Source organism: Homo sapiens, chromosome 3 (assembly GCF_000001405.40).
Source record: "Homo sapiens chromosome 3, GRCh38.p14 Primary Assembly".
Taxonomy (NCBI): Eukaryota; Metazoa; Chordata; class Mammalia; order Primates; family Hominidae; genus Homo; species Homo sapiens.
Window position 1 is genome coordinate 32,134,228 of NC_000003.12, and position 17,912 is coordinate 32,152,139.

The 17,912-nt window shown below is 43.2% G+C and overlaps 1 protein-coding gene and 1 pseudogene across 2 annotated transcripts in view, besides 2 other annotated features; one reads left to right on the forward strand and one right to left on the reverse strand.

Annotated features, from left to right (window-relative positions):
- The window catches only part of GPD1L (glycerol-3-phosphate dehydrogenase 1 like), a 62,090-nt gene that overhangs the window by 27,608 nt on the left and 16,570 nt on the right, over positions 1 to 17,912 (forward strand). Inside the window, exons 3-5 of one of the 2 annotated variants that reach the window (NM_015141.4) lie at positions 4,360 to 4,500; positions 6,001 to 6,139; positions 12,395 to 12,507. In NM_015141.4, coding sequence (NP_055956.1) covers positions 4,360 to 4,500; positions 6,001 to 6,139; positions 12,395 to 12,507 — 393 coding nt within the window. The remainder of the gene's footprint in view (positions 1 to 4,359; positions 4,501 to 6,000; positions 6,140 to 12,394; positions 12,508 to 17,912) is intronic. The other variant, XM_006713068.3, reaches the window with a different exon arrangement.
- Positions 1,863 to 2,032: an enhancer, noted in NCBI's record as "experimental_69731 CRE fragment used in MPRA reporter constructs". NCBI's record gives its function as "activates a minimal promoter by MPRAs in K562 erythroleukemia cells, with activity observed for the introgressed 3:32177667 variant allele {active_cell/tissue: K562}" and the evidence as "EXISTENCE:reporter gene assay evidence [ECO:0000049][PMID:34662402]".
- Positions 13,556 to 14,169: an enhancer, noted in NCBI's record as "OCT4-NANOG hESC enhancer chr3:32189275-32189888 (GRCh37/hg19 assembly coordinates)". NCBI's record gives its function as "activates a minimal SCP1, AML or CMV promoter by ChIP-STARR-seq in naive H9 embryonic stem cells {active_cell/tissue: H9 hESC(naive)}" and the evidence as "EXISTENCE:reporter gene assay evidence [ECO:0000049][PMID:30033119]".
- On the reverse strand, positions 16,856 to 17,668 carry RPL21P137 (ribosomal protein L21 pseudogene 137; annotated as a pseudogene).

The following is a 17,912-nucleotide window of genomic DNA, read 5'->3' on the forward strand; positions in this document are numbered from 1 at the left end:
GATAAGAACTTGTTCTGATACGGTGTAAGAGGAATAATGTTCTGTGAATGGACCATGCACACCATAAAAATACAGCTCACATTGTACACGTTGCTTCTGTGGGTTAAACCCTAAGTATTCCACCAAGGAGAATAAGCCCCAACCACATTGTCCTAGAGACCATCACATTCCCTACCACCTGCAGGTTCCTCTTTGATTTATTAAGAAGGAAATGTAAGAGACAGAAGAAATCCTGGCCAGCTAGCAGATTCCTTGAGAATGGTTTGTTTGTTTGCTTGTGACAGGGCCTCACTCTGTCCCCAAGGCTGGAGTACAGTGGTGCAATCACAACTTTTTGCAGCCTCGACCTCCTGGGCTCAAGTGATCCTCCCACCTCAACTTCCCAAGTAGCTGGGACCACAGGCACTCGCCACCACACCTGGTTAATTTTTTTTATTTTTTGTAAAGATGAAGTCGCACTGTGTTGCTTAGGCTGGTCTTGAGCTCCTGGGCTCAAGCAGTCCTCCCACCTCAGCCTCCCAAAAGTGTTGGGATTATGGCATGAGCCACTGAGCCTGGCTGGGGATGTATTTTAGCAAGAGACATGGGAATAGGCCGATTTCTTAAAAGTTAAGGATTTGCAAGACACGGGTAGATTTTTCTGATGAATACGCTTTCATTTGTTAAGGTCTTTGTAGTTTCAAAACATTGCCACTCATATTACTTAATTGGAAAGGGTTCTGTGAGGTAGCCAGATCGGAAAGGTAATTTTTATCTCTATTTTACATATGGAGTGACTGAGGTCGATGAAGCTGAGTAGCTTGCCAGAGGTCACACAGCTGGTCAGTTGCAGATGTGCAACCCAGACCTTCAAACCTATATTTTTTCTCTTTGGTTCTGGTGTTTTTTCCACTTCACCATGTTGAAAATGCCCCAAAGGGGGAAAGGGAGGAATGTGTATGTGTTAGAGGTGGATGGGGAAGAGGAGAAACAGTAGGTCCAGAGGAATAGGTTTTAATTAAAAGTCAGGCGGCCAGGCTCCATATGAACCAGGGAGTAGGGTGCATAAATGCCCATCTGAGCAAGGCCAGTGTTGAAGGGGAAGGAGTGATCGGAGTTCTTGTGAAGGCCGTGGGAAGATGGGTGGGACACAGGCAAACACATGAGAACAAAACAATGAGCTTTGCCAATAAACGACACACAGGCCAATTGTGGGTTGGCATCGAGAGGGTTGTTTTTTTGTTTGTTTTGTTTTGTTTTTTTTGAGACAGAGTCTTGCTCTGTCGCCCAGGCTGGAGTGCAGTGGCACGATCTTGGCTCACTGCAACCTCCCCATCCCAGGTTCAAGTGATTCTCATGCCTCAGCCTCCTAAGTAGCTGGGATTACAGGTGTGCACCACCACACCTGGCTAATTTTTATATTTTTAGTAGAGATGGGGTTTTGCCATGTTGGCCAGGCTGGTTTCAAACTCTTGGCCTCAAGCGATCCACCCACCTCAGCCTCCCCAAGTGCTGGGATTATTACAGGCATGAGCATGGCGCCCAGCCTTCATCGGGAGATTAATGCAATAGAATCAGAAAATGCTTTGTTGGAGGGGGTGGAGTCTCCAGGTGGGAGAGGAATAATGTAGCAGGTGGATTTTTTTAATAAATCTTCACCACTTGTGGACTACCTAGCCTAGATTACCAATCTGGAGAAGCCCTTTCAAGAGGAAAATAGGCAAATAGGCCTTCCCTGCCTTTGGATCTGCCACTAACGGTGGAGAAGTGCTGAGCTTTGGGTTTTGATCTGCTCTATGGGGAGTGACTCTAGGTTGTCATTCAAATCAGCTTAAAGCTAAATGTTTTGGCTCTTGTAACTAAAGATCCAGGCAGTGCTGGCTTCAGGTGTAGCCTGAACCAGCAGGTTACATGATATTAACAGGGCCCTGTTTTTCCCTCTGTTCCCCTGCTTTGCCATCCGCAAAGTTGGCTTCATCCACATGGTAGCCCCGTGGCGTAGGTTCTCCCCTCACATTTGTAAACATGGTTGCAGTAGTTCCAGACTTCACAGCAGCATCCCACACTGTTCAAGGAAAGACATTGTTCAGGCTACTCCTGAAGAATAAGGAAGCATCTGTTTCCCAGAAGACATCTACTGGTTTCTTGTTGGCTCTGATTGTTTAATGTGCCCATTAGCTTGAACAAGTTAAGAACCACCCCTGAAATGGGGTAGGGGCCAATTCCACCCAAATGGCATGGATAAAATGGGGAAGTTGTAGCTTTTGAAAGGAAGTTTAAGGAAACTTCTAGAAAGAAGGGGAATGGAGGCTAGGCAATAAATTATGGAAGTCCTCCACACCTCCTGAAGGGATAAGGGAATTAAACTTCAGATACATTTTCTTTGGGGAATCCTTTGTGTGAGGGAGTAACTCTTAGCACAGGCATTAGTCAAGGTAATAGGCTAAGATACTGCAAAAGACATAATAATGTGACAAAGAACAAGAGACTTGTCTTCCTCTCACATAGAAATACTCCAGTGGTTTGCTTTACACTATTATTCTTGGTCCCATGTTTTTTGTTTTTTTTTCCCCTGTACCATCTCCTAAGCCTTGTAACCCTCAGTGTGATCAAGGCTAAGTTACCAAGGTTTTCAGCTCACAGAAAGGGGGAAGAGAAAGTGTAGAGGAGGCAACCCACTGTCTTGAGGGCTCTGGGCTGTCAGTGGAAACCACTTCTCCCTCTCACATCCAACAATGAGAACTTGGTCCATGGCCATGTGTAGCTGCAAGGACTGCTGGGAAACACAGTCCCTGGCTAGATGACTAGCGACCAGCTTACAGGTCTGTGATTATAGAGAAAGGGGAGAAGGAATTTTGGCTGGGAGTTGGCAATCTCCATCACAACCCCCAAACTAGGTTTCCTCAGAGGCTGGCCCATTCCGAATGATGTTCCTGTGACAGACACGATTTCCTCAGAGAAGAATCTTCATCCAAGGCCTTTCATTTTGGGAACCAGGAATGCTTAATGGGGACTAAGTCAGTTATAGTTAGGTTTAAATACATATGACAGAAAACCTAAAATAACAGTGGTCTAAGCAAGGTAAATGTTTGTGCATTTTTCTCTAATGTAAAGACATTTGTGGTTGGTGTAGCATCATGGTGGCAGAGACTTGTTTGATTCCACTGTTCTGCCATCTCGGCATGTGCTGTCCTCCTTCTGCTCTAAGATGACTGTCTGAATTTCCGCCATGCCTTCACATTCCCACTGGCAAAAGGAAGGAGAAGGACCTTCCAGGACATTTTCTAGAAGTCACAGGCAGCACTTCCATTGATGCTCCCTTGATCAGAACTCAGTCACATGGTACACGTAGCTGCAAGGAGCACAGGGAAACATAGCCTTCTTTGCTGGCATTCAGGAGCCCAGCTTGAAACTAGGGGTTCTAATGCTGAGGAATAAGGAAGAACAGATACTAGGTGCAGCAAGAAGCCTTTGCCAGAGACCATGTGCCCTGGAGTCCGCACGGCATGCCTTCACTTCTGCCGTGTTAAACTAATCTTCACCCTTAAGGAAAGAAATCGTCATAATAGCTGACATGTGTTGAGTGTATATCAAGTCCCAGGCAGTTTTCTATATCATTTAGTCCTCACAGTGGCACTCTCAAAGGAGAGTTTAGTGTGGGATCATTTACAGAGGGGCCATGGGGTCGAGGGAATCAACAGGGGTTGGTGAAGTGCTCGGAGATTAGCAACAGCAGGAAGCCATTACCACCCCTAAAAGGGTCAGGGAAAGAACATGTCACCAGCCTGAAGAGGGCTTAGAGACATGGCCTTAGAAAGGGGCTGCCTGGCAGCAGGGACAGCTGTGGAATGAAGCCAAGCCAGAAACACTGTGAGCCTAGGCAGAAGTGGCCCGAGGAGGCTGATAAATACCCTTGACCTGTCTCTCCTCCCATCCTTTGATCTCCTGACAATGCCTCCCATTGGCTGAAGCCCACTGGAAGCCAGAGAACAAGGGAGCCTGGGGAAATAGTTTAGAGAAAGCAGCCTCCTGAGAACAGAATGGGGCAGAGAAGAGCGGAAAATGGATGAGGGGGCTGGTGAGGTGGGAGAGCAACAGAGAGCAACCCACATAGTGTTATTAGAGGTGCCTTTTGCAGATAAGGCAGTTGAGGGGTGGAGAGGATAACTCACCTGCCCAGCTGGTGACAGAGGCAAACCCTCTGCTTCAGACCCCCATAAGGAATAAGGAAGGCAAAGCAAACACACTTGCCTTCCTTGTCTATCTGTGCAATGCTCTGCACATAGTAGGCATCTGATAAATGGTCAGTGAGTGAAACCTTGTGGACAGGCAAGGTTTGATATAAGAGGAGAAACGGTCTTCTCTGCCTTTTGGTTGCAGGTTGCCATGTCAAATCTTAGCGAGGCTGTGCAGGATGCAGACCTGCTGGTGTTTGTCATTCCCCACCAGTTCATTCACAGAATCTGTGATGAGATCACTGGGAGAGTGCCCAAGAAAGCGCTGGGAATCACCCTCATCAAGGTAACTCGAGTGCATGCTGCCCAGGGCTAGACATTGGTTATCAGGAAATTTCATTTCCTCACACTTTCATCTGCTTGAGATTTGGAGCTGAAGGGGAAGTTGTGGCGGTTTTTCGTTTGTGTTCTTAAAGATGCTCAAAAGTCATAAAAAAAATAAGACTAGTTTAGCTCAGATTGAGAGTGGGCTGCTTTCCATTGCAGCAGACTAGCAGCAGCAGTGATGTGAAGAGCTGTGCCGCCCCTTCCAGTCCACTCTCGGGGCTCAGCCTGCCATCTGGAAAGCACCAGCAGTTTGAATTAGCTGGGAAATTAATAACCATTAGTGCCCATTCTTGGATATATACCCTAAAGCATGTGTTTTTAACCAGAACTCCATGAACCACCTCTGAAGGTCCACAGGTTGAATACAGGAAGTTCATGCATTTAAATGTGGTGGAAAAAAATCCTTGCATTCTAACTCATTTTAACCTCTAAGTGAAATGAGCATTCTCTTCATTTATGAATGCAGCTCACAGCCAAAGTTTCAGTAATAGCAGTATTAGCAGGATCTGAGACCTTGTCAATAGGAGTCGCAGGGCTTTCATTTCAGTTTACACCTTTTTCTGATATCTCAAGGTATCATTTATACTCATCACTACTTGGAAATTGTGGTAATTGTTAGACCTGCCATGATATCTTTTTCTAATTGCATTAATAAAACAGTGCATATATTACTTTATCATAAATTTGTTTTTTAAACAAATTTCAACATAATTGGATTCCTGGGTTATTTTAGGTGTTTTGTTTTATGCATATGAAATTCTGAGAATGAGTCCATAAACTTCACCAGACTACCAGGGGTAAGGCCCATGTCGTTGGAAAGATTAAGAACTCCCAAGAGAGGCTGTGCCAGAGCATTTACAGATGAATGTTCATGAAGGCAAACCAGAGCAACCCAAATGTCATCAGCAAGAGAGTAGACAAATGAAATGTGAACTATTCATTTTGGAATACTGTGCAGTAAGTGAACAGAAACGAACCAGAAGTTTGATGCAGCCACATGAGTGAATCTCTAAAACGGTATTGTAGTTCAAGACAGCACATCACAGGTGAATGGCACAACTCTCTTTATAGACTTGAAACCCCAGGGATAATGACGTATAACATTGTCTAGGGACCATCCGATGTGGTAAAATAGTCAAGAAAAGCAAGGGAGCAATGCATACAGCATTCAGGACAGTGGTTCACCCTGGGGAGCAGGGGTAGAAGGAGGATGAACTTGAGAGGAGACACACAGGGGACTTCAGTGGTGTCAGTCACGTTCTATTTCTTAACACGAGTGATGAGTACATGTTTATTTTCTTCATTTGATTCTTCTTTAAGCTGTACATAGGCAGTATAGATGCTTTTACTCTTGTAAGTAGGAGACATTTTTCAAGTTGTGTAGCCATGGGACATCTACTATCCCATGCCTCTTTGATTTGGCGGTTTGTTCTCTCCTAACTTCTTGGCATCCTTGTAGGGCATAGACGAGGGCCCCGAGGGGCTGAAGCTCATTTCTGACATCATCCGTGAGAAGATGGGTATTGACATCAGTGTGCTGATGGGAGCCAACATTGCCAATGAGGTGGCTGCAGAGAAGTTCTGTGAGACCACCATCGGTAAGCACTGCCTGGGAGGGACCCCAGGAGTCTGGACATTTGATGTTTGAACATGTACATATTCCATTTCTGATATTTTCTGTAATAGACTCTTCCCTGTCCCTCTTAACATTCCTTAGTTGGGCATTCAGTGGGGCGAGGGTTTTACTTAAGGAGGCTATTTTGTGGAACTGAAGTGTTTCAACAACCTCCAGAATGAATATAAATGAATATAGCCAAGAAGAGCATTCTGACTTGCTGTGATCCAATAATGAATTACTGAGGTTAAACACAAAAGTGCAAGGTTGCTTGTACCAAGAAACAGGTGGCTACATCCATGGTAGGGGTCCCCTGGCCTCAGAAGCCCAAATTTTCTTTTCTTACAAATGTTAGTATCTGGATCCTCATTGATTCCAGTGAGATCTAAAAATTGGTTGAATGACCCCCATTTTCAGGTGAATGATAAGACTCAGAGAATAAATTACCTGCCCCAAGATCACACACTAATGTAGAAGCCAGGAACAAATTTGAGTCTTCTGTTTCCTGAACTAGTAAGCCTTTTCTACTCTTACACATTATACATTAGATACATTATTCTCACATTGACGTTATGAAAATTTTCATTTCTTTTGAAAGGGGCTTTGAGAATTCTCAAGTGTCCGTGTACTATATTAAACGATGCTTTGTTGGAAGAGTAATATTATTGTATTTTCAGATGCTTTGCAAAAGTTTATCTACCACTGCAGAACTTACTTTCACCCTTATCAAACCTGCAAGCAATATGAATCATTTCCCCTTGGCAGCTTTGTAAAAGGAAGCTCTGAGAGATGTCAGGCTCTCTTGCATGAGATGAATGCGCAGGAAAATGTAGCTCCAGATTCTTATACCTGCCTATACGTAGGACTTTTTAGGATTTTTTTGGAATTTTCTACCTTAATTTTTATTTTTAATTATGGAGGTATTTTACATGATTATTATGGAAGATAGAGATAATCAAAAGAAAGCCATTTTAAATTTTTGATAATTTTGTTATATATCCTTTTTTACTATTTGTATGAACTATTATGTTTGTAGTGAATCATATGCTGTTTAATAATTGCTTTATTCGCTGAATATGTAACAAAAACCTTTCAGAGTCTGTTAACATACTGTACATCCTCATAACTGCATAGCATTCCATCAGCAATTCCATATATTTGGATACAAAACTTTTTTTTGAAAAATAATATTTGTTGGAGAGGAGAAGTATCACAAATAATACAAAGAAGAAAAGAATAGCCTATGATACCACCTGCCCAGGTTGTCATTTACGAAAGTGATACAGACACAGGTTTAAAAAAAAATTCAAGCACCATGAGAAGGTGGAAAAGTAGAACTAAGATTGTAATTTCCCACCCATTTCCCTCTTCCCAGAGGGAATCACTGTTAGCAGTTTCTTTTTTGTTTTTTATAATTGCAACTTTTATTTTAGATTCGGGGGTACATGTGCAGGTTTGTTACATGGGTGTATTGCATGATGCTGAGGTCTGGGTTATGACTAATCCTGTCACCCAGGTAGTGAGCATAGTACCCCACAGGTAGTTTTTCAATCCTTCCCTCCTTTCTCTCCTCTCTAGTAGTCCCCAGTATCTGTTGTTGCTATCTTTATGTTCATGGGTACCCAATGTTTAGCCCTCACTTGTAAGTGAGAACATGCAGTATTTGGTTTTCTGTTCCTATGTTAACTCACTTAGGATAATGGCTTCCAGCTGCATCCATGCTGCAAAGGACATGATTTTCTTTTTTTTTTTTTGAGATGGAGTCTCACCCTGTCGCCAGGCTTGAGCGCAGTGGTGCTATCTTGGCTCACTGCAACCTCCAATTCCCTGGTTCAAGCGATTCTCCTGCCTCAGCCTCCCAAGTAGCTGGAATTACAGGCATGCGCCACCACGCCCAGCTAATTTTTGTATTTTTGGTAGAGACAGGGTTTCACCATGTTGGCCAGGATGGTCTTGATCTCCTGACCTCATGATCCACCTGCCTCAACCTCCCAAAGTGCTGGGATTACAGATGTGAGCCACCGCGCCCGGCTGATTTCATTCTTTTTTAATGGCTTTTACTATTAGCAGTTTCTAAATATTCTTCTGGAAAAAATTTATTTATATTTGTATGCTAGTATGTACATATATGAATATGTCTTATTCTTTTACAGTAAATTCTTTTATTTATCTGCAGTTTTAATATAGCCTGTGAAATTGTTATGTAATTACTTATATTTTCCCAAAAAGATTAACTAGTTTGTTCCAACTCAATCCTATTTGCCAATAATCCTTTCCCAGTTCATTCTGGAAGACTAAATCTTAATCTGCAATCCCAATCCCTGATCCAATCCTGGCTAGGACTCTAGCCCTGTTTGTTGTAGGAAAGTTTCTAGTTGGGTACATTAGGCTTTTTTGGTTTTAAAAAACAGATAAAAGCACATAAGTTGCATTTCTTTCCCTCTGGCATTTCTTTACCCGGTGCTTCTATGCCTTCTCTGTGGGGTGGAGTGTGATAAGCACTGATGACCTGAATTAAATTAAGTAAAGCATTTCTGGGTGGAGTAGCTCTCGTGAGGCTAAAGCCGAGGATCTTCTGAGGCCAAGAGTTTGAAATCACCCTGGGAAATGTAGCTGGGAGTTTCCAAAAAAGAAAAAAAAAAATTTTTTAATTAGCCTGGTATGGTAGTACATACCTGTAGTCCCAGCTACTCAGGAGACTGCTGTGGGAGGATCACCTTGAGGCTAGGAGATTGAGCGAGGCTGTAGTCACTGCAGTGGCTATGATCACGTCATTGCACTCCTGCCTGGGTGACAGCAATACCCTGTCTCTTTAAAAAAAAAAAATTTAAGTAAAACATTGAAAGTAAGATAGAATATGAAAGTGATGTTTAAAAATTGTTTTATATAACCTGAATTAATTAATTTTTAAAAGTAGAGTCTTGTTCGAATTCCTGGCCTCATGGGATCCTCCTGCCTCAGCCTGCTGATGTACCGGGATTACAGGTGCGAGCCACTGTGCCCAGCCTATAACCTGAATTTAATCATGAGAAAATATCAGACAAGCCCAAAGTAAGAGATATGTTATAAAACAACAGGCCAATGGTATCTTTGACTCTTCAAAAAAGTCAGTGTCATGAAAGACAATGAAAGGCTAAAGGAGTGTCCCAGAATAAAAAGGACTAAAGATATATTACCGAGCCAGGCGTGGTGACTCACACTTATTATCTTAGCACTTTGGGAGGCCAAGGTGGGAGATCACTTGGGCCTAGGAGTTTGAGACCAGCCTGGGCAACATAATGAGATCCCATCTCTACAAAAAATACAAAAATTAGCCAGGTGTGGTGGCGCACACCTGTAATCCCAGCACTTTGGGAGGCTGAGGCGGGCGGATCACCTGAAGTTAGGAGTTTGAGACCAGCCTTGTCAACATGACAAGCGAAACCTCATCTTTACTAAAAATACAAAAATTAGCCAGGTGTGGTGGTGCACGCCTATGGTCCCAGGTACTCGAGAGCCTGAGATGAGAGGATTGCTTCAGCGTGGGAGGTGGAGGCTGCAATGAGCAGTGATCGCACCATGGCACTCCAGCCTGGGTGACAGAGCAAGACCTTGTCTCTAAAAATCAAAAAGGAGACATGAGCACTATGTGCAGTGTGGGGTCCTGGATTAGGCAGGGAGGGTTGCTGTGGAAGACAATGCAGAGGTGATTGGTGAGGTTTGAATGTGGATTATATGTTAGATAATAATATTATGTAAACATTACATTTTCTGTATTTGATCATTGCAGTGTGGTTATCCAGACATCCTTTGTTGATGCATAGGGACTATTTTAAATTGCGGTAGGTTCAGGAATCGTGGCCCACTTGAATCTTCTGTGGAGGGAAAAGATAGGGCAGCTTCAGGCCTCAAAATCCTGTCATGGTGAACTACAGTGCCCTCTTGTGGTAAGGTCTCCTTTCGTTCTTGGGGCATACCACAGACTCTGAGGCTTTTAATCCAGTCATTCCACAAATATTTTTCAAACCCTCTTATGTATCAGGCATGGTGCCAAATGTCTAGAATACATAAGCTCCTTATGGAACTTGTAAGCACACAAACACATATGGAATCACAAACTAAAATAAGGGTTTTGAAGGAGTTTTATTACATAGGTTAATTGCCTCTAAAACTTGGTGTGACAGAGAAAGGGGATTTTCCTGTCTTTGGTTTACATTGAGTTTTGGGCAACCTTCCCACATGGCTGTCCGGCATTAGCTGTTCTGTACAGATGCCCTGAGTCCCTGCTTGCCATGTCACTGTTTATTACTGGGGTTTGTTGTTGTTGTTGTTGTTGTTTTTGAGATGGAGTCTCACGCTGTTGCCCAGGCTGGAGTGCAGTGGCGTGATCTCGGCTCACAGCAACCTCCGCCCCCTGGGCTCAAATGATTCTAATGCCTCAGCCTCCTGAGTAGCTGGGAACACACACACACACACACACACACACACACACCACCACGCCAGGCTAATTTTTGAATTTTTTGTAGAGATGGGATTTCGCCATGCTGACCAGGCTGGTCTCGAACTCCTGACCTCAAGTAATCCACTTACCTGAGCCTCCCAAAGTGCTGGGATTACAGGCATGAGCCACCGCGCTGGCTTATGACTGGTATTATATTAATAATAAAATTCGCGGGCCGGGTGCGGTGGCTCATGCCTTTAATCCCAGCACTTGGGAAGGCCAAGGCAGGTGGATTGCTGGAGGTCAGGAGTTCGAGACCAGCCTGGCCAACATGGCGAAACCCCATCTTTACTAAAAATACAAAACTTAGCCGAGTATGGTGGCGCATGCCTATAGTTGCAGCTACTCAGGAGGCTGAGGCGGGAGAATCGCTTGAGCTTGGGAGGTGGAGGTTGCAGTGAGCTGAGATAGTGCCACTGCACTCTAGCCTGGGCAACACAGCAACTCTGTCTCATAAATAAATAAATAAAGTTACTACCTATTATCCATGATTTAAGGTAATAAATTTTAAAAGGTACCTTTGAGAAAATATGAGATTGCTATAAATCAAGCCCACCTCTTGGATGGGCATTGCGTTATTTGCAGCCACAAAGGAACCCATAGACCCTACCTTGTATCTATGGCAAGCCAAGAGTGTGCCTTCCCCTGCCCATTCCTCAGTTTGTTCACCAGCAACCCAAGTTTCCAGCTGCAGATGGCTGGATTAAAGTGACTTGAGGGAGGGGCTGGTCTGCAATGTTCAGGAGCATGCTTCATGTTGGAGGCACTGAGCAGTGGGAGGAGACACGATGAGGCTGTAATATGATGTAGGGGCCAGGGGCTGGTTTACCCAACCCAGATGATGCAACAGTGTTGCACAGAGTCACCTAGACAGCCTGGTGGACTGTTTAAAAAGGAAGAGAACAGTTTGCACAAACTGACATAGTTCTAACATTTGGAAAAGGGGAACTCAGCTAAATGAAAGAACAGTAATGCTACAGAGTAGACTGTGTTTCTAAGTATTGGGTGTAGATATTGTGTTTTATTATGAAACTTTTCAGAAAAGTAGAGTAGTATCACGAACCTCACATGCCCGTCACCCATCTTTAGAAATGATTAACTCCTGGCCAGTCTCATTTCATCCACTCCCCACCCTCTCTCAACCCTCAGATGGCCTGGATTATTTTGACATTGTGTCACTTCTTGGTGTAGTTTTACTTGTTGACAATCATGCTTTTTTCTTTTTTTTTTTTTTTTTTTTTGAGACAGAGTCTCGCTCTGTTGCCCAGGATGGAGTGCAGTGGTGAGATCTCAGCTCACTACAGCCTCCACCTCCTGGGTTCAAGCGATGCTCCTGCCTCAACCTCCTGAGTAGCTGGGACCACAGGTACGTGCCACCACGCCCAGCTAATTTTTTGTATTTTTAGTAGAGATGGGGTTTCACCATGTTAGCCAGGATGGCTTCAATCTCTTGACCTCGTGATCTGCCCGCCTCAGCCTCCCAAAGTGCTGGGATTACAGGTGTGAGTCATCGTGTCTGGCCAAAAAAAACTTTAGATTCACATTCGGTCAGTTAAAAATGTATGTCAAATTGTAAATGATCACCTCGATTGGAAACGGGATATTTTTACTTTATTTCTGCTCCTATGTGTTTTCTAAATATCCTATCATGAACATGTTACTTTTATAGTAAGTAGAAACTTATTTTAAAGTGTATTAGGTGTGAAAATTAAGATTAGAGGCTGTTATTAATATCCTTGTTGTCTAACCTTTCAACAGGCAGCAAAGTAATGGAGAACGGCCTTCTCTTCAAAGAACTTCTGCAGACTCCAAATTTTCGAATTACCGTGGTTGATGATGCAGACACTGTTGAACTCTGTGGTGCGCTTAAGGTAAAGTCAGCCTCAGGGGAGGAGTTCATCAAGCAAGGCAAATGTTAGCATCATTGAGTCTAATCCTCAAGAATGGGCTCTGTGTTCTGTGCACCCACATCAGCGAAGAATAGTGAATTGAGAGTCTTGTTTATAACTTCCTGTTTTGCTGCAGCCTTTCCCGGGTGGTTCAGTTCCTCTCTTACTCGTGGCTTGCTTTAACTTGTAAATATGGGGGAATTGTGATGTTTTGGTCTTTGGGAAGTTGGCAGCATTGATATTTGGAAAGCATGGGAGTTCCTTGATGACAGGGTTTCACCCAGGAGCAAATGATTCTATTCATTCATGTTTTTCTCCCACACTTCATCCTGAGCAGGAAAAGGAACTTGTTTCCTCTGAATTATGCTACTCTACTAGTTTGGCTGGTTGTTCTTATTAAGGGAAAAAATAATCTGCTGCTGGTAGAGGTTTTTCTAAGAATAGTTTTGTCTTTGCCCTCAAGAGAGAGAAGATGTGATTAAAGAAATGCACTCCACTGGCCAGTGGCTTGCTGGATTTTTGTAAGTGGAACTGTACAGTATGCACTCTTTTGTGTCCGGCTTCTTTGATTGGAGGTGTATTTTTGTTTGTTTTAATGTAAATTTTAAGAGGTACTTCATACAGAAAAGTACAAAAATCATAAGTATGTAGTTTATGTTATCTTTTTTTCCCCTCTTTTGAGGTAAAGGGAGGTCTCCACACCTGGGCTCCTGACTTGTTGGCTGCTGTCTTTTAAAGCCTTAGGCACTGTCCCTCTCTCTGCCGTGACTTGGGGGAACAACCAACAGGGAACAGCAGCAGCTACCTGCTCATTCCCCCTCACTATCTAAGTTGCCTTTATTTCACTATCATCTACAAAAAAGAGTGGGGGGAATAGGGGAAATAAAAAGTTCTCAATGTGAATGCCCCTTTTGAGCCACTTCTGAGTCATCTCTTTTGCAGCAAAAAGCCACCCTTCAGAAATTTGAGCATCTAGGGAAGAGGTTAGGCAATCCACCAGTCACCTGTCTTTATTGGATGGGAGTTGCAAAGGTGGAAAGAATGCCTGTCTATGCTTTCTCATAAATTGTATATGTTTTTTTCTAGTCAGAAGTTAAAACCACTCTCTAGAATTAACATTGTGTATATATGTGTGGTCATGATATATAATGAGCATTTAAAAAAATTAAAGCCAATTAAAGGCCTGGGCTCCTAGGGAGCACACATGCATATTTCTAAGCGCCTGTGTGGGGCATTCTTTGCATTAGCATTACATTACATGCAGGCCCAGTTATACATGTAAGACGCTGACTTTGGCTGCTTTGTTTATTTTTGTTGGTTGAGATTTTTATGTGTTTTTAATAGTCCTTCATTAAACTAATTACCACTCAACAGCAGGGGGCATCGTGAATGCCTAATTGCTCAGTGCTGGCCTGAGCTGCTCCAAAGCTGTTTTCAAGTGACTGGATGTTTTTGGTGGTCATGGAGAAGCTGTGAAACCCTGCCCAGAGCAAAGAGTGCTGGGTGAGAAGAAGGAGTCTAGATTGAGGTGAGGGCTTTGGAAAAGCTTCTGCTAATGGGAACCCATGCTGGTCTTGTGTCTGAACTTAGAATGGCTTTCATTTTTGCTGGCAGGAAGACTGTAAGTGGATGTGCCAGCTACCTTGATGGAAAGGGATTCATGGGGGATGCAGGGAGGTGGGGGTTGAAGGCCCTTAATCATCCTCCCTGCAACTTCCCACACAATCTTTTAAAACGAGATCAGTTACCATCATTCCTGGGGGTTTGCATCAGAGTTAAAATTTTTGAAAACTGAGAAACAGGCACTTGTAGCAATTATTAACTCCAACCATTGTCTTGCACAGATAAGGAAATCGAGATCCAAAGAGCAAATGACTTTAGGGTAGCAAACACTGGCACACTCGGAGCGTGAACACGGGTTTTAAGACTCTCAGCCCAGTTTCTTTGGTTACTGTGTACCACTTGACTTTTCTGGTTAGTAATCAGGCAGCATGAATGAAACGAAGCCCTCTCTCATCAGAGCCTGCCAGAGCAAGGACACATGGCCGTATGTTGCTTTCATCACATAAATAACAGTGATGGGTTTTTCCCCCCGACTATAACACAGTCATATTCCTTGTTTTCACACAACAGAAAGGTGTAAAGAAGGAAGTAAAAATCAAATCACTGACAATCCTACATCCTGAAATAACCTCAGTTAATGTTTGTTGTATACCCTTCCAATGTTTTTAGTGTGTACCTATGTGTATGGGTCCTTTTTAAAACAAAAACTAGATATTAGTGTTCAAGTAGTTTGATTTTGTGTGTGTGTGTTTTGTTTGTTTTTGAGACAAGGTCTCGCTGTGCTGCCCAGACTGAGTGCAGTGGCACAATCATGGCTCATTGCAACCTCAGCCTCCCAAGCTCAAGCTGTCCTCCCACCTCTGCCTCCTGAGTAGCTGGGACTACAGGCACATGCTGCCATGCCCGACTAATTTTGTTTATTTTTTGTAGAGATGGGGCCTCGCTGTGTTGTTCAGGCTGGTCTTGAACTTGTGAACTCAAGCAGTCTTCCCACCTCAGACTCCCAAAGTGCTGGGATTACAGGCATGACCCACCACATCCAGCCATTGATGTGTTTTACTTTTTTACGTTAACAATCTTTAGTAATATTCTCCATACTAGCCAATTTACAAAATGTACATTATCTTTTTTGTACTCAAAAATGTGGAGCATTTGACTTACTAGGAAAAATGTGAAAACAACTCTCTACAAGGATAAAATAGAAAATTCAAAGGATTTATGCATAATCATTTTGTACCAGTGCCTCTTACTACCTTCGGAATGTCCTTCATGAACTCTTAGCTGTATTCATCTCTTAGTAAGGATATATCCTTTTTTAAAAATCAACTTTAAGTGTAATTCATGTAATTAGGCCAGGCATGGTGGCTCACACCTGTAATCCCAGCACTTGTGGAGGCCAAGGCGGGTGGATCACGTGAGTATGGGAGTCTTAGACCAGTCTGGCCAATAGGGCGAAACCGCATCTCTACTAAAAAATACAAAAATTAGCTGGGCGTGGTGGTGTGTGCCTGTAATCCCAGCTACTCGGGAGGCTGAGGCACGAGAATCACTTGAATCTGGGAGGCAGAGGCTGCAGTGAGCCAAGATCGTGCCACTGCACTCCAGCCTGGGCGACAGAGTGAGACTCCGTCTCAAAAAAAAAAAAAAATGTAATTCATGTAATCAAACTGCATCTATTTAGAGTTTATAATACCATGGGTTTTGAGAGTTGTGTGCATGCACTTGCGAAAACCACTACCAAAGTACACAACATTTCCATTATCCCCAAACAACTCCACATGTCCCTTTGAGGTTCCTCATCACCCCAGCCTCCAGTTGGGCAGTCAGCTGATCTGCTTTTATATGCCATCGTTTGCATTTTCTAGGATTTTTATAAGTGGAACTGTACAGTATGCACTCTTTTGTGTCTGGCTTCTTTGATTGGAGGTGTATTTTTTGTTTGTTTTAATATAAATTTTAAGAGGTACTTCATATAGAAAAGTACAAAAATCATAAGTATATTGTTTAATCTATGTTATCTTTTTTTTCCCCTCTGAGAGAGGTCTTGTGTTCCTTGGCTCAAGCTGTTTTCCTGCCTCAGCCTCCCAAGTAGCTGGGATTATAGGTATGCACCACAGCGCCTGATTTATGTTATTGTTTTCTGTGTTTTTAAATAGTCTAGTGGTCTTTTTTTTCTTAACAACTTTTTTTTTTTTTTGAGACAGAGTCTTGCCCAGGCTGGAGTGCAGTGGTGTGATCTCAGCTTACTGCAACCTCTGCCTTCCAGGTTCAAGGAATTCTCATGCCTCAGCCTCCCAAGTAGCTGGGATTACAGGTGCATTCCACCACACCCAGTTAATTTTTGTATTTTTAGTAGAGATAGGGTTTTGCCATGTTGGCCAGGCTGTAGCTGGCCAACAGATGTATTACATCTGTAATGTACGTTTTGTAATTGGCTACTATGGAGAATATTACTAAAGATGATTAATGTTAAAAAAGTGAAACTCATCAATGGCTGGACGTCGTGGGTCATCCTTGTAATCCCAGCACTTTGGGAGGCCGAGGTGGGAAGACTGCTTGAGTCCACGAGTTCAAGACCAGCCTGGACAACACAGTGAGACCCCCCGCATCTCTACAAAAAATAAACAAAATTAGTCAGACGTGGTGGCTTGTGCCTGTAGTCCCAGCTACTCGAACTCCTGGCCTCAAGTGATCCGCCTGCCTCAGCTTCCCAAAGTGCTGGGGTTACATGCGTGAGCCATCACACCCAGCCTATTTTTCACACCTATTATGCATGAATTCATAGAGAATAAGTCCCAGCAGCTCAGGCTCCTTCCCACTGGTTCCCACAAAGTGCGCTTCTCTGGGTGGAGCAGGCTGGTACTTCAGTCTAATCCAGGTACCTTTCTCTTTGGCTTCCTTCTTTTTCTGATCATTTTCCTTCATGTGTTTCAGGAAGCTATCTCAGCTCTTAGCTTAATATGCTCCATACACCCATTAATTCTTGGCAAGAATCTTGCCCTTAACTTGTTTACCACAATGCCAGCAGCATGCTGGGTAACATTGTAGACTCTTCCAGTTTAGCCATGGTGACACTTGTGGGGCATTCCTTTTTGAACAGTGACCATTCCCCTGATGTCTACAATATCATCTTTTTTTAAAAAAAGGTTTTTTAGCTTATGTATTTATTTTTTATTTTTTTTGAGACAGGGTCTCACTCTGTTGCCCAGGCTGGAGTGCAGTGGCACAATCTCAGCTCAGTGCAACCTCTGCCTCCTGGGCTCAAGTGATCCTCCCGCCTCAGCCTTCTGAGTAACTGGGACTATAGGTGCTTGCCACCATGCCTGCTAATTTTTGTATTTTTTGTGGAGACAGAGTTTCACCATGTTGCCCAGTCTGATCTCAAACTCCTGGACTCAAGTGATCCATCAGCCTTGGCCTCCCAACGTGCTAGGATTATAGACCTGAGCCACCACACCCTGCCAATATCACCTTTCTGATAGATTCACATATATGTGGCCAAAGGAGCAACTTCATGCTTTCTAAAAGGCCTGGAGAACATATGTCAGGTACTTCTCTCCTCTTTCCCTTTTGTATTCATCATTTTGGTAAATTACTGGAAGATGGCGATTCTGGCCAGAAGGCTATCATTTTTAATAGATTCTTTATCAGGATTGAGTTTCATTAACAGAGACCCAAAATAATACAGGTTGAGTATCTCTTATCTAAAATACTTGTGACCAGAAGTGTTTTGGATTTTGGATTTTTTCTTTTTTGGAATATTTGCATTATACTTACCAGTTCATCATCCCTATTTGAAAATACAAAATGCTCCAATGACTATT